This window comes from Homo sapiens, chromosome 15 (genome assembly GCF_000001405.40).
Source record: "Homo sapiens chromosome 15, GRCh38.p14 Primary Assembly".
NCBI lineage: Eukaryota > Metazoa > Chordata > Mammalia > Primates > Hominidae > Homo > Homo sapiens.
The window spans coordinates 50,199,834-50,226,187 of NC_000015.10; the positions used below are offsets into that span (position 1 = coordinate 50,199,834).

General features: G+C 41.2%; 1 protein-coding gene across 2 annotated transcripts in view, besides 1 other annotated feature; it reads left to right on the forward strand.

The window, feature by feature from the left end:
* Positions 1-26,354, forward strand: part of SLC27A2 (solute carrier family 27 member 2) — a 54,190-nt gene that overhangs the window by 17,638 nt on the left and 10,198 nt on the right. Inside the window, exons 3-6 of one of the 2 annotated variants that reach the window (NM_003645.4) lie at positions 2,654-2,812; positions 5,406-5,530; positions 23,132-23,326; positions 26,155-26,245. In NM_003645.4, coding sequence (NP_003636.2) covers positions 2,654-2,812; positions 5,406-5,530; positions 23,132-23,326; positions 26,155-26,245 — 570 coding nt within the window. The remainder of the gene's footprint in view (positions 1-2,653; positions 2,813-5,405; positions 5,531-23,131; positions 23,327-26,154; positions 26,246-26,354) is intronic. The other variant, NM_001159629.2, reaches the window with a different exon arrangement.
* Positions 10,924-11,503: an enhancer, noted in NCBI's record as "H3K27ac-H3K4me1 hESC enhancer chr15:50502954-50503533 (GRCh37/hg19 assembly coordinates)". NCBI's record gives its function as "activates a minimal SCP1, AML or CMV promoter by ChIP-STARR-seq in primed H9 embryonic stem cells {active_cell/tissue: H9 hESC(primed)}" and the evidence as "EXISTENCE:reporter gene assay evidence [ECO:0000049][PMID:30033119]".

Consider the following 26,354-nt stretch of genomic DNA (forward strand, 5'->3'; position numbering starts at 1 on the left):
GGGAGGATCACTTGAGCCCAGGAGTCTGAGGCTACAGTGACGTGCCACTACACCCCATGCTGGGTGACAGAGCAAGGCACTGTCTGTAGAAAAAAAATAGTGCTAAGTTACTCTTGTAAACATTAATTAAAAGAATTTGTTTAAACAGTTGGAGAATAAATGTTCCTGCTCCTCAAAGGAAGTCATTAGCACAAAATTATATAATAGTTACCAGATATTCTCATTTATTCATTAATACAAAATCTTAATTTAGGAAAGTTCTGAAAGTACTTCAAGGCAACAAAGATGAGCATTTCTTTTTAAAAATTTCAGAGGCCAGGCATGATGGCTCATATCTATAATCTCAACACTTTGGGGCCAAGATGGGAGGCTCACTTGAAGCCAAGAGTTCAACATCAGTCTGGGCAATAAAGCAAGACCTTGTCTCTACAAAAAATATAAATAAACAGCCAGGCATGGTGGTGCACACCTGTGGTCCCAGATACCTGGGGGGCTGAGACAGGAGGATCACTTGACCTGAGGCTGTGGTGAGCCTTGAACACCACTACACTCCAGCCTGGCAACAGAGTGAAAGCCTATCTCAAAAATAATAATAATAATAATAATAATACATAAAACAAAACAAAAAACTGGGCCATTGTCAAAGAAAATGAATTTTGAATTGTGTTTACAATAATGGTAGGTTGCTAGCCATATTTGTCTGCCTTGTAACAAGTTGCTGCTATTTGGGCACTATCTGGTGAAGGTACCACCAAGTATTGAAGAATCTGAGTCAACAGAGATCTGTCTTCCTCTTCACGAAGTCTGTTTACCCACTCAGATCTTAAACTCTTAGTCCCCTTCCCAGTGACTTCATGCCCTCCCCAATTGAACTGTTCTTCCATGGGAAACAACATAAGCATACACTTACAGAAGAAAATCTTACAAAAAACGTATATAAATTATGGTTAAGAAAGTGCAAGCGCATTTAGTCTAATGTACTAAAACTACACTGAGATACGGTTTTTCACCTTTCAGACTGGCAAAGGCCCCAACATTTAAGAGCACACATTGACAAGGCTAGGAGGAAACAGGCACACTCATGTATTGCTGATAGGAGAATGAATGGGGACAGCCCTTATAACTGGCAATGTGGAAGTTATCTATCAAAATTACAAAGACTCTTACTCTTTTTTTGAGACAGAAACTCATTCTGTTGCCCAGGCTGGAGTACAGTGGCAGGATCAGGGCTCACTGTAGCCTCAACCTCCTGGGCTCAGGCGATCATCCCACCCAAGTAGCTAGGACTACAGGTGCATACCGCCACACCCAGCTAATTTGTTTTACTTTTTGTAGAGGAGGGGTCTCACTATGTTGCCCAGACTGGTGCTGAACTCCTGGGCTCAAGCGATCCTCCTGCCTCAGCCTCCCAAATTGCTGGGATTACAGGACTGGCCAACTTTTATCTTTTGACACAACAATCTCACTTCAGTGAATTTATCCAAAAGATATGGTGTCATTCATAGTGTGAATTGCCACGTGGACGAGCTTCTTCACTGCAGCATCATTTATAACAGCAAATAGTATAAATAAATTATAATACACTTATAAAAGGACTTGAAGGAGCTGAGAAAGAGAATAAATAAATGAATAAATAAGGGAAATCTTTATGTACAAACATGAACAAATCTCCAGTAAACATTGTTAAGCAGCAGAGACAAAAAACATGCAAAAGAGTGTGCATATTTCTTTTTTTTTTTTGAGATGGAGTCTTGCTCTGTCACCCAGGCTGGAGTGCAGTGGCGCTATCTCGGCTCACTGCAACCTTTGCCTCCCAGGTTCATGCCATTCTCCTACCTCAGCCTCCTGAGTAGCTAGGACTATAGGCACCCACCACCACGCCCGGCTAATTTTTTGTATTTTTAGTAGAGACGGGGTTTCACCATGTTAGCCAGGATGGTCTTGATCTCCTGACCTTGTGATCCGCCCGCCTCAGCCTCCCAAAGTGTTAGGATTACAGGCGTGAGCCACCGCGCCTGGCCAAGTGTGCATATTTTTTAATGGAAAAGGCAAGAACATATAAGCAAATGTTCATATTTGCTTTGTTTGTATAAAATAACTCTAGTACGTAAGAAATCTCTCTGACTCTCAGCCTTCACATCTGTGGATTGGAGAATATAATTCTGTTTATGTCATATATAAACTTGTTATGGATTTTTAAAATGTCTTGCAAAGTGGTAGCCACAGGGCAGAAATTCAATGGACAGTCATTCCTCTGTTTCTGTTTCTCTTCAGATTACTACTGTCATAACCATCTAACTCAGGAGTTAGCAATCTATGGCTTGTGGGCCAAATACAGCCTCCCACCTGTTTTTGTAAATAAAGTTTTATTGGAACACAGCCACACTCCATTTATGTATGTGTATGGCTGCTTTTGACTACAATAGCAGAGTTCAGTTGTTGCAACAGAGATTGTATGACCCACAATCCCAAAACATTTACTCCCTGGTCCTTTATAGAAAACATTTGTCAACTCCTGGACTAACTGGTCATGGCCCTTCCCAGTGCAATTCTCAAAATACAGGGTGATGAATCTTCCTAAGCCAGATCTCTCTCCTACACTGTAAATGCCCAATCTTGGTTAACTCATGCCTTCTCTTGTATATTTACAAAGGTCTTCCAAAAGCAGCCATGATCACTCATCAGCGCATATGGTATGGAACTGGCCTCACTTTTGTAAGCGGATTGAAGGCAGATGATGTCATCTATATCACTCTGCCCTTTTACCACAGTGCTGCACTACTGATTGGCATTCACGGATGTATTGTGGCTGGTAAGCTTTTTCTACAAAATGTTGGAGGCGAGTGCACATTTACATTTTCCCAGAAGGAACAGTAATACAAAATTTGGCTACGTTGCTGTCTGCTAGGAACAGTTTTCAATTTTGCATTAACAATAAGGCAATTTGAATCACATATTACAAGCAAGCATCTAAAATAATCTGTTTTTCATGCCTGCCTATCTAATAATGTAATGCTATAATTGTTCAGTATATCAAGAGACAAACTCCTTTAAAATATTTTAGGGCTGGGTGCAATGGCTCACACCTGTATTCCCAGCACTTTGGGAGGCCAAGGCAGGAGGATTGCTTGAGGCCAGGAGTTCAAGACCAGCCTGGGCAACATAGCAAACCTCATCTCTAAAAAAAATATATATATATATATATATAGCCAGGCATGGTGGCTCAAGTCTGTAGTCCCAGCTACCCAGGAGGCTGAAGTAGAAGAATTGCTTGAGTCCAAGAGTTCAAGATTGCAGTGAGCTGTGATTGCACCACTGCACTCCAGCCTGGGTGACAGAGTGAGACCTTGACTGTAAAAAAAAAAATTTTAGGTTATGACACTTGAGTCTTAGATTCTATGTCATGTCATTTCCATCTTTAGAAACTTGCATGTTAATCTCCATCAGCTTTAAACTTCTGCAGTTGTGTGCACTCTTCTGTAATCTCCCATTTCCACAGCTTTTCAGCTCTACTAGAAGGAGAGAAGATGGCAACTCCATCAGAATACTTGGCTTGGCTTGGCTTGCCATCTCTTCTGTTTCCTTCTCAGACTTTACTATTCAAATTGGAGTTGCCATCCTCTCTCCTTCCAGGAGGATTCATGTCACTTGTATACATTACCGCAAAGTTCAATAGCCAACTCTTCCAGGAAGCTATATGTAACTTTCTGACTGAGCTAAATAAACAACTTTTTCTCTCATGTGGCATTTCATTTTAAATAATCATATATGTATATATAAAAATATATACACATATGTATATACACACACATATATGCGTGTGTGTATATGCATGCATGTTATGGATGGATATTTGTGTCCCCCAAAAATGTATATGTTGAAATCCTAACCCCCAATATGATGGTATTAGCAGGTAGGGCCTTTGGGAAGTAATTGGGTCATGAGAGTAGTGCCTTCATGAAAGGTAGTGCCCTTATCAGAACAGGAGACAGCCAGCTTCTTTCCTGACTCTGTTCTGTTCCATGTAAGGACACAGGGAGATGATGACCATCCCCAAACCAGGAAAAATGCCCTCACCAGACACCAGACACCTTGATCGGGACTTCCCAGCCTCCAGAACTGCAAGAGATAAATGTTGTTTAAGCCACCCATCTGTACTATTTTGTTATAGCAGCTCAAACACACACACATACACACACACACACACAATCCAAAAATTTGAAATCCAAAATGCTCCAAAATCTGTAACTTTTTAAGCACCAGGACACCACAAGTGGAAAATACTACACATAAGTACTTAACACAAACTTTGTTTTATGCACAAAGTTATTTAAAATATTGCATGAATGGGCCAGGCACAGTGGCTTATGCCTGTAATCCCAGCACTTTGGGAGGTTGAGGTGGGCGAATCACTTGAGGTCAGGAGTTTGAGACTAGCCTGGTCAACGTGGCAAAACCCCATCCCTTCTTAAAAAATACAAAAATTAGCCAGGCATGATGGTGTCCACCTGTAATCCCAGCTACTTAGAGGCTGAGGCACGAGAACCCACAAGGCAGAGGTTGCAGTGAGCCAAGATTTCACCACTGAACTCCAGCCTGGGCAATAGAGTGAGACCCGGGCCAGGTACGGTGGCTCACGCCTGTAATCTCAGCACTTTGGGAGGCCAAGGGGTACAGATCACGAGGTCAGGAGATTGAGACCATCCTGGCTAACACAGTGAAACCCCTTCTCTACTAAAAATACAAAAAATTTGCCAGGTGTGGTGGCACGCGCCTGTAATCCCAGCTACTCAGGAGGCTGAGGCAGGAGAATCACTTGAACCTGGGGGGCGGGTGTTGCAGTGAGTCGAGATGGCACCACTGCACTCCAGCCTGGGTGACAGAGCGAGACTCTGTCTCAAAAAAAGAAAAAAAAATAGAGCAAGACTCTGTCTCAAATATATATATATAAAATACATATATATGTATGTGTGTGTGTATATATATAATATATATGTATGTGTGTGTATATATATGTATGTGTGTATATATATATACTTGAGACAGAGTCTCACTCTATTTATACATATATTTAGTATATATATAATATAATATATATATATATTGCATGAAATCTCTTTCCCTCTCCCCTCCCTCCCTCTTAGGACTTCATTTGAATCTCTTACTGCAAGCTAACTTTTATTAAAATGACCTTTGTATGAGTCTTCTCCTCCATAGATTGGAAGCCCCTATCGAACAAAACCATGTCTTACTAATTTTTTGCATTTGAATATAAGGTACTCAATACTTGTTTGCAAATATAATTTATTTTTAAATTTCTACCGTTCAAAGTTGACAAATTAAACATAACTGGGAGAATTTTTTCCACCATTTCTTTCTTGACACTTTCTGTGCTTTCTCTGTAGGTGCTACTCTTGCCTTGCGGACTAAATTTTCAGCCAGCCAGTTTTGGGATGACTGCAGAAAATACAACGTCACTGTCATTCAGTATATCGGTGAACTGCTTCGGTATTTATGCAACTCACCACAGGTAACACTCCCCCCGTTTTACTATCATTTTGAAATGGGTAAGATGGAAATTCAAGTCACTTTGGGTTGTGCTAGGCTTCAACTGATTTGCATATATCAGTTTTGAGTTTAGGATACAATTATCATGATAAAGTACTTGGCACTATACCTACCATATAGAGGGGACTTAGTAGGTGGGAGTTAATATTATTATTATGATGATGATTATTTCCTGCCTTTTTACTTGTTTTCACATCTTACTCCCCACCTAGCATATCCTGCATTTCCCCCTCTGCTTACTAAAAGCCAGTGTCAAAGCCCAGTTCAAATGATACCTCATACATTAAACATATTTGGGTCACTCCAACAAAAGTCATTACTCTTCTCCCCTACGTCATTTTATTTCTACCCTCTGTGGCCCTTGTCATGTTGCAGGAGTTTGTGTTCATGTCTCCCATCCTTCCTTGGCTGTAATATCTTTGATGGCTGGAACCACATCTTGTCTCCTTGTTTTCTGTTATACCGAAGGCATACAGGAAACTTTTACTTAATGCTGTTTAACAAATAAATCTCTGTGTGACTTTGAAACCAGCCAGCCAAGTCTGTCACCAAGCTGGGAACAGATGCCCCAGGGCATCTCCAATGGCCTTGGATCTGCCCTGTTTGCAGATGTTCAGCTCTCGATGGGGTTGTTCTCAAGAGCTCCTCCTGCCCAGTCCCTCAACTCTCATCAGAGATCTGGTATCAGATAGGATTTATCAATGGTGGCACTGCTGACATTTTGGGCTTTTAATTCTTTGCCGCGCGGACTTATTCTGTGCATTGTAGAGTGTTTAGCACCCTTTGGACTTTGCCCACGAGATGCCAGTAGTAACCTCCCCACCTCCCCAGGTCATGATCATCAAAATGTCTCCAGAAACTGCCAAATGTCTCTTGGCAGGGAAATGCTAACCTAGTTGAGAACCACTGTACTAGACAATGCAGTAAACTCACCAGATTCTAATCCCTTTCACCAGATTCTAGTTCCTTTATTCAGTCAGTTTAAACTCAAAGGATCACTAAGTTGATAAATTGCTATTGATAAGCACCTGTTGTACTCACCTAACATACCAGCTGCCGTGTGACGCAGAAAGAAGTGTCAGATGCTCTTCCCCCAGGTCTCTCTCACCTCACTTTACTCAGTCTCTGCCCAGATGTTGCCTCATTAGAAGACAGGCCTCTTCTGCTAATAATCAAACATATCATCTGCCCCTCACTGTCCAGCTTGTCACTGCATTTCATGGCACCTGTCACTCCTGACATAGTAAAGGTTTATGTGATTATTGTCTGCCCCCCCTCGCCCCAATTAAATGAAAGCCGCATATGAGCAGGGGCTCTGTCCACTACCAGATCTACGGCACCAAGATCTGTAAATGACACATCATAGGCATCAACAGATTTTGTGGACTGAACCTCTAAATCCTTGCCCCTGAAAAATGTGTAGTTGAGTTGAGGGAGCTAAAATGTTTCCCCAAAATGTTTGGGCTTAGCACATATTATTCTGATTTTTTGGCATATTCAATAGATTCTCGAGGATCATCATTAGCAGTGAGTTGGGTTAGGGTATTTTCCACAGCAGTTCTGTTCATGTCATTATTGAATTTTTTTCACATTAATATTCCACGTGGCCTCCAAGATAGCATGTCTCTCTATTAAAATCCAGAAATCCATATGGGACCCTTCTGCTGGGCTTTTCTTCTCTACCTTAAAGGCACTCCTTTGTCAGTTAGAAAATCTCCTGGGGAGTGTGTGTTGTTTCTGTATGTTCTAATGGGAGCTTCCTTTGGACTGGACGAAAATAAATATGTTTGTGTGTAGCTGTCTTCAGGCCCACACATATCCACATATACACATGCACACATACACACATGCATGCACTCTCCCAGTTTTTCTCTTACTGTTGTCTCAAATACTGGAAAACAAAGACAATTTCACTGGGGTTTTACAACTTCAAAATATACTATGATTTAATGCATAATCTTGAATGACCCCTGGACTTCCTATTTGCCAGTGCTTCCCCACCCCTGAGTTCTGTTTGGAAAATATTTATAAAAAGTATAATAAAAGATCAAAGTTATCTCAAAAAAAAACCTTCAGTTAAAGATTTTTTTAAATTATAGGTCATCAGTCCAGGCACGGTGGCTCATGCCTCTAATCCCAACACTTTGGGAGGTAGAGGCGGGCAGATCATTCAAGGTCAGGAGTTCAAGACCAGCCTGGCCAACATGGAGAAACCCAGTCTCTACTAAAAATACAAAAATTAGCGGGGCTTGTTGGCACGTGCCTGTAATCCCAACTACTCAGGAGGCTGAAGCAGGAGAGTCGCTTGAAAGCAGGAGGCAGATGTTGCTGTGAGCCAAGATTGCACCACTGCACTCAAGCCTGGGCGACAGAACAAGACCCTGTCTCAAAAAAAAAAAAAAAAGGAAAGAAAGAAAGAAAACAATCATATGTCATTAGACAAGCAGGAGATCTATGCAAATTTTTTTAAATTTAATCATAGGTCATCATAGGAAGTAGAAAGTACAGATTGTATGGGATGTAGGGAAAGATTATATCAAAAAGACTTTGCAAAAAAAAAAAAAGAATTGGATAAAAACTAGAATGAATGGGGGAAGGGCCTGGATCAATGTAATCAGGAACTTCTTCACCCTTAGAGCTGCCTAGAATACGCTGTTGCTGGAGGGACTAACCCCACCAGCGACCCCCAAGCACTGGATGCCAGGGAGGCAACCTCTGCCTTAGCAGAACAGCTAAACCAAGTGACACCCATCCACAGACATATATGGCCCAGCTCATCAGGAGAATCTGGGGCCAGTGTTGGGAGGTAGAAGCCACTGTGCTTCTCTGCCCTCTTCTTAACCATATTCAGTAGCTTCTCTAGTAGAGCAGTGGGCTATGGAGAATGCTTCCAGCCCTGCTCAGGTCAGTGGTTCAGATTTGGCCCCAGGTACTTAAAGTAATGCTGAGAGCAAGTACTCTGGAGTTAGTCGGCCTGCATTCTGACTCTGGCATTGGAGCAGGATAGTTAACCTCTCTAAATCTCAGCTTCCCGTCAGCCAACAAGGAGATAATAGTACCTACCTCACATGGGGTCTATGAAGACAACCTGAGATGATATATATAAACCACATAGTAGCTGGAACTTAGTAAATTCTCAACACATGTTGCCATTATTATCATTATCACTTTCCATGCCTAACAGTGTGTAGCTCATAATAAGTACCCCATACATATTTGTTGAATGAATCAATGAAAATTCTGCCCACTTACACAAAGGAAGAAATAAGGGAAAACATTCTACTTAGTTAATCACTCTCATCTGAGGTTGAGTAGGGGATGGGATAGCAAAGCTACTGACTTAAGTGATTTTTAAAATATTATAGTGAATATTTTCTATTTTGCCGTCTTCCCGCATTGTATTTGGGCCTTTGCTTTCAAAGCGACTGTTTGTAATGAAAGGCCATTCTGATTCATTTCTTGCAGTGTATGGTTGTCAGCTCCCATTCGGTTTTTGTAGTTGCCTAAAAACAATGTCATCTAGGGAAAGTTATTTATTGGAGCATGATATTGCTAAAGCTCAGTGTTTCTTTCCTCCAGTTACAGACTGAAGCTACAGTCTGTACTGGACAAGGCTCCAGTACAGGGGTCTCAATGAGGCTTTATGACACCTGCTGGAGTGTGGGAGGAGGAAGACAGAAAGGGAACCAAAAAAGAGTTCCAGGGGCCACACATAGAACCATGATATTTGGAAGGAGAAATAATATTGGCCAGAACCCTGAAAAAGCTGAATAGATTCAACTTACCTCTAGTGTTGACTGCGTCCCCCCAGAATTAGATAACCTCTGTGGTCCCTTCTAGCCTAAAATTTCTGTCTCTGCATCAGCTTCATTCTGTTCAAAAAAGAGAATGGATGGATCTGTTGCAGCACAGAGTGGAGAGTGGCCAATATGACTGGGGCCCAAGACAGAGGGAGGCCAAAAGAAAGAGGGAAGGGGAGCAGAATCAGGAAGGTTCGCCAGGGAAGGTGGGCTTTGAAGAGTACGGAGAAGTTCTGCAGCCAGGCAAGAAAAGAAGGGCTTCTGGCTAGCAGGAAAATCACGTGAGCAGTGAGATGAAGGACCCAGCACACTGGGAACTGCAAGCAGTCTGGCAGGAGGTGAAGCTGAGGGGCTGGGTCAGGTGGCAAGGGCTTTACTCTGCTGAGACTCAAATGTGAACATGACAAGCCATGACTAAAGGGCCTTACATGGAAGAGCAATGTGGGAGATGGCATTTTTAGACAGTCCTTTTGGCTACGATGTGAGAATACACAGAAGGATGAAGGGCCTCTTCTGTAAAGCAAACAGGTGGAGCCTTGTCCAGGCAGAAGTGTAACATATTAATTATTAAGAACAGGGACTCTGGAGTTTTTCTAAGGTGATAAAGACCTTCTTCCCTTTCACCTCTTGGAAGTCACCCCAAAACAAGGCGATGAGAAAAACACACACAAGCACCATCATCTCAGAAACTAAGAGACATTGCAACCATGAACTACATAGTATAGGAAGCTAAAAGATAACAGTGACTGACATAGTAGGCTGAGAAGGGTGAAACTTAAGAGGCAAGTCCCAACAGGAAGGAAGCCAGTTGCCTTCCTGAAGGCTGAGAAATTGCAGGCTTTGAATACAGCTGAAGGTGGGATGAAGTGTCAGACTTAAAACAGGGGAGTTATTTGAAAATCTGTGTAAGAAGTAAAATACGGAGGACAGGATCATGGCGAGCGGGAGGCAGGACTAGATTGTGGCTCCAGACAGAGCAGCATGAGAGGCTCACATTGTGAATTTTAGCTCCAGCTTGACTGCAAGAACTAACCAGCAACCCCAAGAGGACCCACAGACCCTCTGAAAGAAGTGGATTGCTCCTAGAGGACCCGGGAGACACCCCAAATACTGTGATCGCCCCAACTGCAGAAGTGGGAAAGGGAGACCCTCATCTCCCGAACACATACTGGAGAAGCTGAAGGTCTGTTTGTAGAACTTCCCGACTTTACCTGGAGCCTCGTCAAGTTAGAGAGCCAAACCGAGCAAAATACAAAGGTAGAGGAAGCTGCAGAAAGGCCCTGGGAGCTCACTGGCTCCCCTAGCAGCCCATTCCCGCCTGGCACCACAGGGATCCATCAGGAGGGTGGCCAGAGGAGCAGGGGGCAAAACTCCACAGGGAGAAGGAATTCTCTAGCTAAACTTTGGGATAATTTGAACGGGGCAAGAAGACTCCTGGCCAGAACTCCAGGGAGGGTGTGAATCTGGCTTGCAGACTCCACAGGCGGAGAAGAACTAAAGCCCTTTCTTTAACAGCTGGGAGGCAGAAAGCCTTGGGCAAGTTTTCAAGCCTGACTCGCCCTCCACCTGGAAACAGACTCGGGGCCGTTGAGGGGGCACGGTGGGAGTGAGACCAGCCCTTCAGGTTGCCTGGAAGCTGGGTGAGGCCTGTGACTGCCAACTTTCCCCCACTTCCCTGACAACCTGCATGACTCAGCAGAGACAGCCATAATCCTCTTAGGTACACAACTCCAGTGACCTGGGAATCTCGCCCCCATCCCCCACAGCAGCCACAGCAAGACCTGACCAAGGAGAGTCTGAGCTCAGACAGGCCTAGCCCTGGCCCCACCTGATGGTCCTTCCCTATCCACCTTGGTATCAGAGGACAAAGAACATATAATCTTAGGAATTCTAGGGCCCTGCCCACTGCTGGTGCCTGTCCACACTATTACAGCTGATGCTTTCTGGAAAGTACCACCTCCTGGCAGGAGGCCAACAGCACAAAACAGGGAATTAAACCACCAAAGTTAAGGATCCCATGGAGTCATTGCATCCTCTGCCACTTCCACTGGAACAGGTGCTGGTATCCATGGCTGAGAGACCCATAAATCATTCACATCACAGGACTCTGTTCAGACAACCCCCAGTACCAGCCCAGAGCCAGGTAGACTTGCTGGGTGGCTAGACCCAGAAGAGAGACAACAATCACTGCAGTTCGGCTCACAGGAGCCACATCCATAGGAAAAGGGGGAGAGTATTACATCAAAGGAACACCCCATGGGACAAAATTCTGAACAACACCCTTCAGCCCTAGACCTTCCATCTGACAGAGCCTACCCAAATGAGAAGGAATCAGAAAACCAACCCTGCTAATATGAAAAGCCAAGGCTCATCAACATCCCCAAAAGATCACACTAGTTCACCAGCAACGAATCCAAACCAAGAAGAAATCCCTGATTTGCCTGAAAAATAATTCAGGAGGTTAGTTATTAAGCTAATCAGGGAGGAACCAGAGAAATATGAAGCCCAATGCAAGGAAATCCAAAAAAACGTTACAAGAGTGAAAGGAGAAATATTCAAGCAAATAGATAGCTTAAAGAAAAAAACAGGGCCAGGCATGGTGGCTGAAGCCTGTAATCCCAGCACTTTGGGAGGCTGAGGCAGGCAGATCACAAGGTCGGGAGATTGAGACCATCCTGGCTAACACAGTGAAACCCCTTCTCTACTAAAAATACAAAAAAATTAGCTGGAGTGGTGGCAGGCACCTGTAGTCCCAGCTACTCGGGAGGCTGAGGCAGGAGAATGGCATGAACCTGGGAGGCAGAGCTTGCAGTGAGCCAAGATCGCGCCACTGCACTCCAGCCTGGGAGACAGAGTGAGACTCTGTCTCAAAAAAAAAAAAAAAAAAAAGTAAATGAAAAAAACAAGCAAAAATTCAGGAAACTTTGGACACACTTTTAGAAATGCTAAATGCTCTGGAAAGTCTCAGCAATAGAATTGAACAAGTAGAAGAAAGAAATTCAGAGCTCGAAGTCAAGGTCTTTGAATTAACCCAATAAATAAAGACAAAGAAAAAATAATAAGGAAATATGAACAAAGCCTCCAAGAAGTCTAGGATTAAAAGACCAAACCTAAGAATACTTGATGTTCCTGAGGAAGAAGACAATTCTAAACACTTGAAAAACATATTTGGGTGAATAATTGAGGAAAACTTCCAAGCCTTGCTAGACCTAGACATGCAAATACATGAAGCACAAAGAACACCTGGGAAATTCATCACATAAAGATCTTTGCCTAGGCACATTGTCATCAGGTTATCCAAAGTTAAGACCAAGGAAAGAATCTTAAGAGCTGTGAGACAGAAACACCTGGTGACCTACAAAGGAAAACCTATTAGATTAACAGATTTCTCAGCAGAAACCCTACAAGCTAGAAGGGATTGGGGCCCTATCTTCAACCACCTCAAACAAAACAAGTGTAAGCCAAGAATTTTGTATCCAGCAAAACTAAGCATCATATATGAAGAAAAGATACAGTCGTTTTCAGACAAACAAATGCTGAGAGAATTCGCCATTACCACGTTACCACTACAAGACCTGCTAAAAGAAGCTCTAAATCTTGAAACAAATCCTGCAAACACATCATAACACAACCTCTTTACAGTATAAATCACACAAGACCTATAAAACAAGAATACAAGTGAAAAAGCAAACAACAAAAAAACAAAAGTTCACAGGCAACAAAGAGCATGATGAAAGCAACAGTACCTCACATTTCAATACTAACATTGAATGTAAATGGCCTAAATGCTCCACTTAAAAGATACAGAACTGCAGAATGGATAAGAACTCACCAACCAACTGCTGCCTTCAGGAGACTCACCTAGCACATAAGGACTCACATAAACTTAAAGTAAACAGGTAGAAAAAGGCATTTCATGTGAAAGGACATGAAAAGTGAGCAGAGGTAGCTATTCCTATATCAGACAAAACAAACTTTAAAGCAACAGTGGTTAAAAGAGACAAACAGAGACAGTATAGAATTGTAAAAGGCCTTGTCCAGCAGGAAAATATCACAATCCTAAATATATATGCACCTAACACTGGAGCTCCCAAATTTATAAAGCAATTGCTACTAGACCTAAGAAATAAGATAGACAGCAACACAATAACAGTGGGGGACTTCAATACTCCACTGACAGCACTAGACAGGTCATCAAGACAGAAAGTCAACAAAGAAACAATGGATTTAAACTATACTTTGGAACAAATGGACTTAACAGATATATACAGAACATTTCATCCAACAGCAGCAGAATACACATTCTATTCAACAGCGCATAACTTTCTAACTTTCACCAAGATAGACCACATGGTGGCCCATAAAATGAACTTCAATAAATTTAAGAAAATTGAAATTATATCCAGCACTGTCTCAGACCACAGTGGAATAAAACTGGAAATTAACTCCAAAGGAACCTTCAAAACCATGCAAATACAGGGAAATTAAATAACCTGCTCCTGAATGAGCATTGGGTCAAAAACAAAATCAAGACAGAAATGAAAAAATTCTTCAAACTGAACGACAATAATGACACAACCCATCAAAACCTCTGGGATACAACAAAGGCGGTGCTAAGAGGAATCTTCATAGCCCTAAACGCCTGTAACAAAAACACTGAAAGAGCACAAACAGACAATCTAAGGTCACACCTCAAGAAACTAGAGAAACAAGAACAAACCAAACCCAAACCCAGCAGAAGAAGGGAAATAACCAAGATCAGAGCAGAACTAAATGAAATTGAAACAAACAAACAAACAAAAAAAAAGATAAATGAAACAAAAAGCTGGTTCTTTGAAAAGATAAAATTGATAGACCATTAGTAAGATTAACCAAGAAAAGAAGAGAAAAAATCCAAATAACCTCACTAAGAAACAAAACAGGAGATATTACAACTAACACCACTGAAATACAAAAGATCATTCAAGGCTACTATGAACACCCTTACGCACATAAACTAGAAAACCTAGAAGAGCTAGATACATTCCTGGAAAAAATACAACCCTCCTGGCTTAAATCAGATTAAATCAGAATTAGATACCCTGGAACAGACCAATAACAAGCAGGAAGATTGAAATGGTAATTTAAAAATTACCGACAAAAAAAAGTCCAGGACCAGATGGATTCACAGCAGTATTCTACCAGATGTTCAAAGAAGAATTGGTACCAATTCTTTTGACACTATTCCACAAGATAGAGAAAGAAGGAACCCTCCCTAATTCATTCCATAGAGCCAGAATCACCCTAATACCAAAACCAGAAAGGACATAACCAAAAAAGAAAACTGCAGACCAATATCCTTCATGAACACAGATGCTAAAATCCTTAACAAAATACTAGCTAGCCAAATCCAACAACATATCAAAAAGATAATCCACCATGATCAAGTGGGTTTCATGCCAGGGATGCAGGGATGGTTTCACATATGCAAGTCAATAAATGTGATACAACACATAAACAAAATGTAAAAAATCACATGATAATCTCAATAGGTGCAGAAAAAGCATTCAACAAAATCCAGCATCTCTTTATGATTAAAACTCTCAGCAAAATCGGCATACAAGGGACATACCTTAAAGTAATAAAACCCATCTATAATAAACCCACTGCCAACATAATACTGAATGGGGAAAAGTTGAAAGCATTCCCCCTGAGAACTGGAACAAGACAAGGATGCCCATTCTCACCACTCCTCTTTAACATAGTACTGGAAGTCCTAGCTAGACCAATCAGACAAGAGAAAGAAATACAGGGCATCCAAATCAGTAAAGAGGAAGTCAAACTGTCACTGCTTGCTGACGATATGATCATTTACCTTGAAAACTCTTAAGGACTCCTCTAGAAAGTTCCTAGGACTGATAAAAGAATTCAGCATAGTTTCCAGATACAAGATTAATGTACACAAATCAGTAGCTCTTCTATACACCAACAGCGACCAAGCAAAGACTCAAATCAAGAACTCAACCCCTTTTACAATAGCTGCAAAAAAAATAAAATACCTAAGAATATATCTAACCAAGGAGTCAAAAGGCCTCTACATAAAACTACAAAATGCTGCTGAAAGTAATCATAAACTAAACAAACAAATGGAAACATATCCCATGCTCATGGCTGGGTAGAATCAATATTGTGAAAATGACCATACTGCCAAAAGCAATCTACAAATTCAATGCAATCCCATCAAAATACCACCATCATCCTTCACAGAATTAGAAAAGAAAATTCTAAAATTCATATGGAACCAAAAAAAGAGCCCGCATAGCCAAAGCAAGACTAAGCAAAAAGAACAAATCTGGAGGCATTACATTACCCCACTTCAAACTATACTATAAGGCCATAGTCACCAAAACAGCATGGTACTGGTATAAAAACAGGCATGTAGACCATTGCCACAGAATAGAGAACCCAGAAATAAAGCTAAATACTTACAGTCAACTGATCTTTGACAAAGTAAACAAAATCATAAAGGGGGCAAAGTACACCCTATTCAACAAATGGTGCTCAGATAATTGCCAAGCCATGTGTAGAATAAAACTGGATTCTCATCTCTCACCTTATACAAAACTCAACTCAAGATGGATTAAGAACTTAAACCTGACACGCGAAACTATAAAAATTCTAGAACATAACATTGGAAAAACCCTTCTAGACATTGACTTAGGCAAGGATTTCATGACCAAGAACCCGAAAGCAAATGCAATAAAAACAAAGATAAATAGCTAGGACCTAATTAAACTAAAGAACGTTTGCACAGCAAAAGGAACAGTCAGCAGAGTAAACAGACAACCCACGGAGTGGGAGAAAATCTTCACAATCTATACACCTGACAAAGGAATAATATCCAGAATCTACAACAAACTCAAATCAGTAAGAGAAAAACAAACAATCCCATCAAAAAGTGGGCTAAGGACATGAATAGACAATTCTCAAAAGAAGATATACAAATGGCCAATAAACATTAAAAAATGCTCAACATCACTAATGATCAGGGAAATGCAAATCAAAACTACAATGCGATACCACCTTACTCCTTCAAGAATGGCCATAATCAAAAAAATCAAAAACAGCAGATGTTGGCATGGATGCAGTGAACAGGGAACACTTCTACACTACTGGTGGGAATGTAAACTAGTACAGCCACTATGGAAAACAGCGTGGAGATTCCTTAAATAACTAAAAGTAGAACTACCATTGATCCAGCAATCCCACTTACTGGGTATCTACCCAGAGGAAAAGAAGTCATTATTCAAAAAAGATACTTCTACACGCATTTTTATAGCAGCACAATTCACAATTGCAAAATCGTGGAACCAACCCAAATGCCCATCAATCAACAAGTGGATAAAGAAACTGTGGTGTGTGTGTGTGTGTATATATATATATATATATATATATATATATATATATATATATATAGTATAGTTTGAAGTGAGGTAATGTAATGCCTCCAGATTTGTTCTTTTTGCTTAGTCTTGCTTTGGCTATGCGGGCTCTTTTTTTGGTTCCATATGATATATATATATATTCCATAAAAATATATATATTCCATAAATATATATCCACAAAATATATATATTTTATGGATATATAAAATATAAATATATAGTACATATATCCATAAATATATATATATTCCATAAAAATATATATATTCCAAAAAATATATATATATTCCATAAAAAGGAATAAATTAACAGCATTTGCAGTGACCTGGATGAGACTGGAGACTATTATTCTAAGTGAAGTAACTCAGGAATGGAAAACCAGACATCGTATGTTCTTACTGATATGTGGGAGCTAAACTATAAGGAAACAAAGGCATGAGAATAATACAATAGACTTTGGGGACTTGGGGGGAAGAGTGGGAGGGGGACGAGGGATAAAAGACTACAAATATGGTGCAGTGTATACTGCTCAGGTGATGGGTGCCCCAAAATCTCACAAATCACCACTGAAGACCTTACTCATGTAACCAAATACCATCGGTACCCCCAAGAACTTATGGAAAAATAAAAATAAATAAATAAAATCTGTGTAAGAAGTAGCTGGACCTGCTATTCCCCTCTTCCACTGTGTGGGAGACAGGAGGATTTTTCTCTGGAGAGCTAAAGAAGCTTTGACTGAAGGACCCCAAGAACAGAGGAGAGCAGGGACGAGGCACTGAAAACAGAGATTAAGAAAGTATCTACGTACTAACCAGGGAGACCCCACCAGCTCCTTTCCCCTGCACAGATACTGGAACTCCAGTAGCCAGGTTATGCTTGCAGGCAGGATATTGAAGGAGTGTAATTCTTAGGAAGAACTAAACTTTCCCGGAAAAGACATTGGACATGGGCTCACTGCCTCGTCAACCAGCAGTGCAGCCCAGCTAGCAGTAGCCCCCTCACCCTGCCCCCACAGAACTGCCTAATCATCTTTCTGTTGCATTACTCTTAAATCTGAACAAACATGAAGAATCACCAAGCACCTGAGGAACGCCTCCTACAGGAAGGATCATCAAAAGAAAAGAAGCATCAACTCAAAAAACAGAAGAGGCCAGGCACGGTGGCTCACGCCTGTAATCCCAGCACTTTGGGAGGCTGAGGTGGGCGGATCACAAGGTCAGGAGTTCAAGACCAGCCTGGCCAACATGGTGAAACCCCATCTCTACTAAAAATACAAAAATTAGCTGGGCACGGTGGTGGGCGCCAGTAATCCCAGCTACTGGGGAGGCTGAGGCAGGAGAATCATTTGAACCCGGGAGGCAGAGGTTGCATCGAGCCGAGATTGCACCATTGCACTCCAGCCTGGGTGACAGGGCGAGAGGCGAGACTCTGTCTCAAAAAAAAAAAAAAAAAAAAAAAAAACCGGGAGAAATGTTTTTAATGTATCATTAATATCCTCAGAGAGACTGGAGAAGATATTGTATCCATAAAACAAGAATAGTGTACTGTTTTAAAAGAAAAAAAGAATCAGACTTGAAAACTAAAATGATGTTTAAAAATCTTTAATTCATAGAAAAGTTGGAAGATAAAGCTGAGAAATCTTACAGAAAGTTAAAAAGATAAATTGATGGTCATAAAGGGAGAGTAGATAGGAAAATTAGAGACTAATCAAAGAGGTCCCATATATATTTAATTGGAAATCAGGAAAAGAGAATAGAGAAAGTGGAGAGGAGGAAATGATCAAAGAAATAGTACAGGAAAACATCCGAGGGCTGGACAGACTGAAAGGGCTAATGGAGTAGCCAATAAAATTAGTGCAGGAAAAAGAAATTGTGCCATGATGAAATTTAAGACTACCAAAAAAAGATAGTGAAAGTTTGACTGTCAGTAGCAACACTGCAAGCTGAAAAACAAAGGACTGGTGCTTTCAAAATTCTAGATACAAATTATTGCCCATCTAGAATTCTATATCCAGCCAAATCATCACTCAGATATACAATATTCAGATATTCCAAGTCTCCACAAAAAAATAGTAAAAATAAAATTAAAAAAACTTACCATGTACATACTCCCCTTCGGGAATTTACTAAAGAAAATATTCCATCCAAACAGAATGAAAAAAAAGCAGAGGAAAACACAGGATCAAGGAAAGAGAGACAAAGGGACCCCCCAGGCTTAGAAAATAACTAGTCCAGACTGGAGCAGAGGAGACAAAGAAGCATAATGGAAAACAGGAAATTCCATGAGCAGATAGATTTCACCATGAGGAAAATTTTAGAGGCTGTTGGAGGATAAGGGGAAACTTACCAATAGAAACTAAGGAAATGAAGCAAATTGGAAGAAAGGCAATTAATTCCAGGAAAAATAAAAATTTGTTCATAGTGTATTACTTGGCTCCTCAGTGTTGTATTATGGGCAGAATAATGTGAACACTGAATATTGGTTTAACCAAAAATTGTGATACTGGAAAAATGGGAGAGAGAATAGGAAAGAACTGAATCCTCATCTACCACAATAGGAAATCTGAAATTGACGAAACAAGAGAAAGAAGTATAAGCATTTAATTTAGAATTTAATTTAGAAATATGCAGATAGCAAGAAGCAGCTACAAGAGTTAACTGTCTGCCTCTGGGTGGTAAACTGGGGGTGAAGGGTGGGAACAGGTAGATGGCGTGAATACAGCATTGTTCACTTAAGGGTCTTTCAGGACTATTTGTTTCTTATCTTACACTATGTGTGTGGCACTCTCTCTTTGTTGCTTTTTTTCCTTTTTTCTTTTTTTTGTGGGGGGTGGAATTTATTGGTGGGCATGAGTAAGGAGGGGCAGCACAGTGGACGCCCTCTCAAGTGCAGGGCTTTAAAAAAAAAATAAGGAAAAGAGCTCTCTGAAGCCACATTGATTCAGATTTGAATCTTGGAGCAACCGTTTTGCTACCTTTGTGATCCTGGGAAAATAATTTTAAGCTTCCTGAGTCTCCATTTCCTCAATTGTAATATGAGGCAAATACTTTTATTAGCTATCACCTTTCATAGGGTTCTTTAGAAACAGGTCAACTGCCTGACCCACAGAAAAGCCTTCAATAGAAGCTTTCTGCCTGTGTTAATTACCTGGCACCCTTCATTCCTCTCTGGACATCTTGACCTCTTGCTCCTCATCAGTCCCCCAGGTGTGTTTGCATGTTTCACCTTAGCTCTAATGTGACGAAGAAGGTTTTTTTCTTGTTTAAAAAAAATAAGCTGGTGACCCTTGATCTAGAAATCAGTTCCTCTGAGGAGTAGCTTTGGTGATGGAGAAACACTGTTCGCCCTATGGGAAAGGAAAACTTGAGTCATACTCTTTCAGCCACTGGTGAGCAAAAGCTTAGGTGAGAACCAGACATCTTAGAAGCCTCCAGGATCTCCCATTTGTGCCCACAAACATTTCCAGCCTTAATCCCTTTTGCTGATGTAATAAGATTCTTCAGCTGGATGATGAAAACTGAGCCCATGGTGTTGTGATTATGAGCTCAGCTACCTGCTACTGGCAGGTGATAGCTGCACCTGTGAGGCTGGTCAGCTTCCCACACACCCAGGGTGCCTGCGGCCTCCTGCACCCTAAGCCCTGCCCTGACCTGGCCACTAATTATTGAACAGGGAGTGAGGTTTCCTGGTAGAGATTATCTATTTTACTGCCAGGATTATGCTCTATGCAAAGCACAGGTCCAGGCACTGGGGATGACATAGAGATACATGTACATTTGGCCTCAAAGGAGTTTACCATTTAATGAGGGAGATAGATAATCACCATCCAATAGACAAGGAAATAAACGAAGTGGGTAGGAGAAGGGCTGCTGGCGGGCTGCATGTGGGATAAGTAAGACCTTGGGTCTACATGTGGGAATGCTGCTTTGGAGCTTCCATTGCAAGCCTGGGAGCAGGTGAGCACCCAGCTCAGGTGATCTTCTTTAAGCAAAAGCAAGTCTTCAAATATGTGTGATGTTTTATCCTTGGGGCGGCAGTGGGAGGGGGTGGTCTCTGAATACTGACAGTCCTTATGGAAGAGGATAGTGCCTTGTGGGCAGGGTGACCCTACAATTCAGTATCCAAACAGGGACACTTGAGAGTGAAGGTAATGAAAGATAACCAGCATTCCAGGACACGTATAGCCAGGGCTTGCCCTGGCAAACCAGACATATGATCTCTGGACTTAACGGGAGCTTGGTAATTATAAAGCGGGGTAGAGTCAGTGACCTAGGGACCAGAAGAGAATAGATTCTGGCTGGGCACAGTGGCTCATGCCTGTAATTCCAGCATTTTAGGGGGCCGAGGCAGGAGGATAGCTTGAGGCCAGGAGTTCAAAATGAGCCTGGGCAACATAGTGAGAACTTCATCTCTACAAAATTAATAAATAAATTAGCCAGGTATGGTAGCACGCACCTGTAGTCCCAGCCACTCATGAGGCTGAGGCAGGAGGATCGCTTGAGCCTGGGAGTTAAGGCTGCAGTAAGCCATAATTGCACCAGCCTAGGCAATGGAGCAAGACCCTGTCTCGAAAAAAAAAAGAGAGAGAGAAAATAGATTCCTACTCAGTCTGAATGTCTAGGTCTCATGCAGGTTCAAAAGGCTTCTCAGGCAGCTCCCCCAGACACCCTGGGTAAGAGCCACTGGCGGTGGGGTGGGGGTGGGCTGGTCTCTCTTGACACATTTCCTCCTCAGAATGACTGCTCAAGGGGCCCATTTTCACCAGTGACCAGCATCAGTCCACCTCTCTGGGTGGGACTCCTCAAAAAGCCGCATATGTTCTGGCCAAGCTACTTAAAGATTAAATGTTTATTTTCTGCTTCCCTGGCGCCTTAGCTCCTCCTGCATGGAAACCAATTCAGAGTTTGCCTTGGTGTGGTTTTTAATTGCCATGCCAAAGTCCCGTACCCTTATAGTGCTTTTCAAAGAGTAATTCTTATTCCAAAACCACTTCACAGTGATTTCACAGTGTAAGAAATAATATAGAAAAAGCTCTAACCAATTGCTGTTTTATCAAAGAAATTAACAGTTGATGTGAGAGGACAGCCCTAATGACCTAGCACTGTTACCCCATTTCATTCTGTATCCTGATAGAATAAAGGTCATAGAGTAACAGAATTTACAACGTAAAATTATACCTATTTATTTGTCTCTTCCACCAACCTGTGATTTCCTGGAGGACATAAATTACATTATTAACATAAGATATTAAAACCATCACCGGGCTGGTCTGAAGGTAGTGAGTTACCTCAATTGATTGTTCACAGTTATAGATCAAACTTCTTGTTCTACTCTTTCCCCTCTTCTCACTACTGTACTTGACTAGTCTTTGTTAACAATTAAAAATAATAAAATAAAATAAATAAAACCATCATTGGCATGGACATATTTGTGGGGTCTCCTAAATGACTGTGGTTGAATGGAAGGCAGCCTGGTCATAGCCCCACCTCTCTTGCTGACACCAGAGAGACTCCTTTCAGTCCTTACACCCAAAACAGACTTTCCTTTGTGATCTTTACTTACAGCAAATCATATTCTTCCCAGGCCACCTGAGGCAACTGGGAGGTGGCCTCCTCCTTCTCTTCCCCTCCCCATCCCACTGGGACAGTTTTGTTGTCTCGGTTCAGCTCTGCCTGATCTTATGAACACTGGAGTCTACCTGTTAAATGGGGCAGGGCATGGTCAAGACTCTTCCCTGCAGTTCCCACAGGATCCAACTGTTGCTCTTTAATGGCTTTGTGGAAAATGGCTTTCTCTCTCTCTCTGTCGCTCACTGGACTGTGTTTCCTGTTTTCTTCTTTATTGTCATAAAAATCCTAGACACTGCTCAGGGTCCCACTGGTAGTAGATTGTGCCCATCTCTGACAGATCTTTCCCATGTGGCTCTTCCTTTCTGGAAATTCACCAGTGTTCACCAGCCCCATCAAGAAAACTATGAACATATTATACACATTATTCTAACTTTAGATTGGATATGGATTAAATGTTGGCATCACCTGGTTCTGTCAGATTGCCTCATCTGGCTCCTTAGAAACCAAAATGGGAGAATTCACATGTTTTGGTTGTTAAATCATAGTTCCAGCTGTCAGACCATACTGCTTGTGCTAGAGGAATAGGGAACGATGTGTGTGGGTGGCAGGAAAAAGGCAGACACTAAGGGGCATTTATAACCAACATAAATATGTAATAAAGGCAATGTCAGTATAAATTAAATACATACAAAATAAAGGCAATTATTAATATGTAAGCATAGGCTCCAGAGATGTTTCAGTTTGGTCTCCTTCTTCTCCCCCACCACAGAAACCAAATGACCGTGATCATAAAGTGAGACTGGCACTGGGAAATGGCTTACGAGGAGATGTGTGGAGACAATTTGTCAAGAGATTTGGGGACATATGCATCTATGAGTTCTATGCTGCCACTGAAGGCAATATTGGATTTATGAATTATGCGAGAAAAGTTGGTGCTGTTGGAAGAGTAAACTACCTACAGAAAGTAAGTACATTGAAAAATGAGAGCATACGTAGCCAGTTTTCAGAATACAGAGACTTCTTAAAAGCCAAGTCATGATGATGTTATCAGAAGTCAGGCAGCATCAGAGCCATGGCCCATTCCTATCACCAAGAGAAGTTTTGCTCATTCTCTGTGATGATGACTTCAAAAAATCAGATCCTCCAATTAAAAGCATCTCAACTTCTATTAAGAACAATCCATTGTGCCCTTGCCATCTGCAACTTAGGTGAAGTCTTCCTGATGCCATTTATACTTGCATGTGATAAAACACCTGAAGGTTACAAGTTCCGTAAGCTAATCGTACACTGTGAAACATAGTATTTCCCTTTAATTGTGTCGTGCAGCACCATCACCTGGGGAGTTTTTTTTATATGCACAGATGCAAGGACCAACCCGCTAGGCTTTGGATTCAGTTGTTCTGAGGTGGAGCCCAGGCATCTCAGTGCTAGGATCTGGTGAACATTTATGTCTACCTAATAATTCCACCAGAAAGATATTTGTAAGCCAGCTCACATAGCCGTCTCTTTTCCCTGTCAGTCATTTTATTGCTCATGGGTCTCTGTTGTCTTTTTTGTACTCAAGCAGTCAGTCTTCCAGATAACCAACAATTCTGCAAATATCCAGAAATGTTCAGCAAATGCTGAGCCTCCTTTGGCTTGAGAAGTCACTGCGGTCATTGTGCCTCTGGGCAGCTCATCCTTTCTGGCCATGAAACAGCCGCACCAGAACTCCCACGCAACCTGTGTCCCCAGGGACAGGCCAGCAGAATACAGAGGACAGTAGTTCATGTGCGTAAGAGCCCTGGCTGTGGAGAGCAAATCTCAGTGCCACCATATGCTAGCTGAGTGACCTTGGGCAGGTCACATATGCTCCTCAGGCCTCAATTTCATCATCTGTAAAACAGAGATAACAAGAGAAAATATTGAACCCAGTGCCTAGCCCACACTCGATAAGGGAAAAGGATTGTTGAAAGGATTAAACAGCCAGGCGCAGCGGCTCACGCCTGTAATCCCAGCACTTTGGGAGGCCGAGGCAGGTGGATCATGAGATCAGGAGATCGAGACCATCCTGGCTAACACGGTGAAACCCCGTCTCTACTAAAAATAAAAAAAATTAGCCGGGCATGGTGGCGGGAGCCTGTAATCCCAGCTACTCGGGAGGCTGAGGCAGGAGAATGGCGTGAACCCGGGAGGCGGAGCTTGCAGTGAGTCGAGATCGCGCCACTGCACTCCAGCCTGGGCAACAGAGCGAAACTCCATCTCAAAAAAAAGAAAGGATTAAATAACTTATGAAAAGGCCCTTAGAGGCTATAGCCCAATGCCTGTCATTTAACAGCCTTGAATAATTGTTAGCCGTAATGATGATAATCACTCTATTTCTTATATTCTGGCCTAATCTCAAGGTGTTCCCAAGTTCAAGGACCCTCTCTGACAATGACAGCTCCACCTACGCTACACAAGTCCCTCCACAGTCCTCTAGACCTGCGCTGTCCAAACAGTAGCCACTAGCTACATGTGGCTACTTAAATTTAAGTTATATTAATAAAAGTTTAAATCCAGTTCTTCAGTCACACTAGCCACATTTCCAGTGCTGAATAGCCACGTGTGGTTAGTAACTACCGTATTGAGCAATGCAGACAGAGAATATTTCCATCATCACAGCAGATTCCTGGGCAGTGCTGCTGCAGACTGAGAATCGATCTCCTACACCCCACTGGAACTGCTGCTGAGGGTCAGCTAATGCTGTATATTACCCATTCTTTACTTTCTCATCCATTGATTGCCATATTTTATTGTCAGTTTTTCTACTTTAAGCAAAACATTAAAAAAAAAAACTTTAAAAACCGGATGATCCCATGCAATTGATGTAGAAAAGAACATTTATTACTACCTATAAATTTTTTACATTCCTGCAAATAAGATCTACATTTGTTGACCATAAACACCACTTGTTTTTTTAACAAGTACTAGCTGTCTGCTAATACTAAAGCATATGATTGTTTGCTTCATCACATAGACTTGAATATAAATTTGAAATAGACACAGTAATCATGGCTAATAATTATATCCAAATACTGTCATGTTTGCATTTTTCTTCCAACAAGGAAAATAATATATTTATTATTGCTCTTACTGAATTGCTGATAATTAAATTCTTATGCTTTGAATTATATGTTAAATATGATAGAGTTTTCATAATTTTATAGTCATGGGCATGAAATAATTATGGCTTCGATTCTAAAATATATTAGATAACATTTCCTTAGAAACATGAAAAATCTAATAGTGTCATATTAATATAAGGTTATACAAGATTTTAAAAACCCATTTGTGATACATCCACCAAAAGACACAAGAATGTTCATAACAGCTTTATTTATAATAGGCCAAAACTAGAAATAATCCAAATACCCATTAACAGGAAAATAGATAAATAAATCGTGGTATGTTTATACAAGGGAAAATTGCATGGCAATAAAAAACACCAACATGGATGGATGAATATTATAGACATATTTAGTGAAAGAAGCAGACACAGAAGCATACATTTATTTCATTTATTTGATATTTAAGATTAATTGACAGCAGTATAAGTCAGAATAGTAGTTAACTTCACAGAAAAGGGCAGGAGGAAACTTTCTAGGTGAAATGAAAGTTTTCTCTGTCTCTCTCTGGGTGGCAGTTTTAAGGGTATATGCAAATGCAAAATTTCTTCAACCTGTACGCCTAAGATATACTTTGTGTTATACCACAATTAAAAAGGGAAAAATTATAAAAGATTTATACTCAAAATTATTTTAATCTTGCTAGAAAATCATAACTTATGACCTGATTAAATATGATGTGGAGAAAGATGAACCTGTCCGTGATGAAAATGGATATTGCGTCAGAGTTCCCAAAGGTACAGTGGACTTTTGTTCAATCAACCTGTGCCCCTTCTTATCTTGATCAAGTGACTTTTAAGGACTAACATATTATTGCCACATGGTAAAATTTATCAGAGTGGGGAA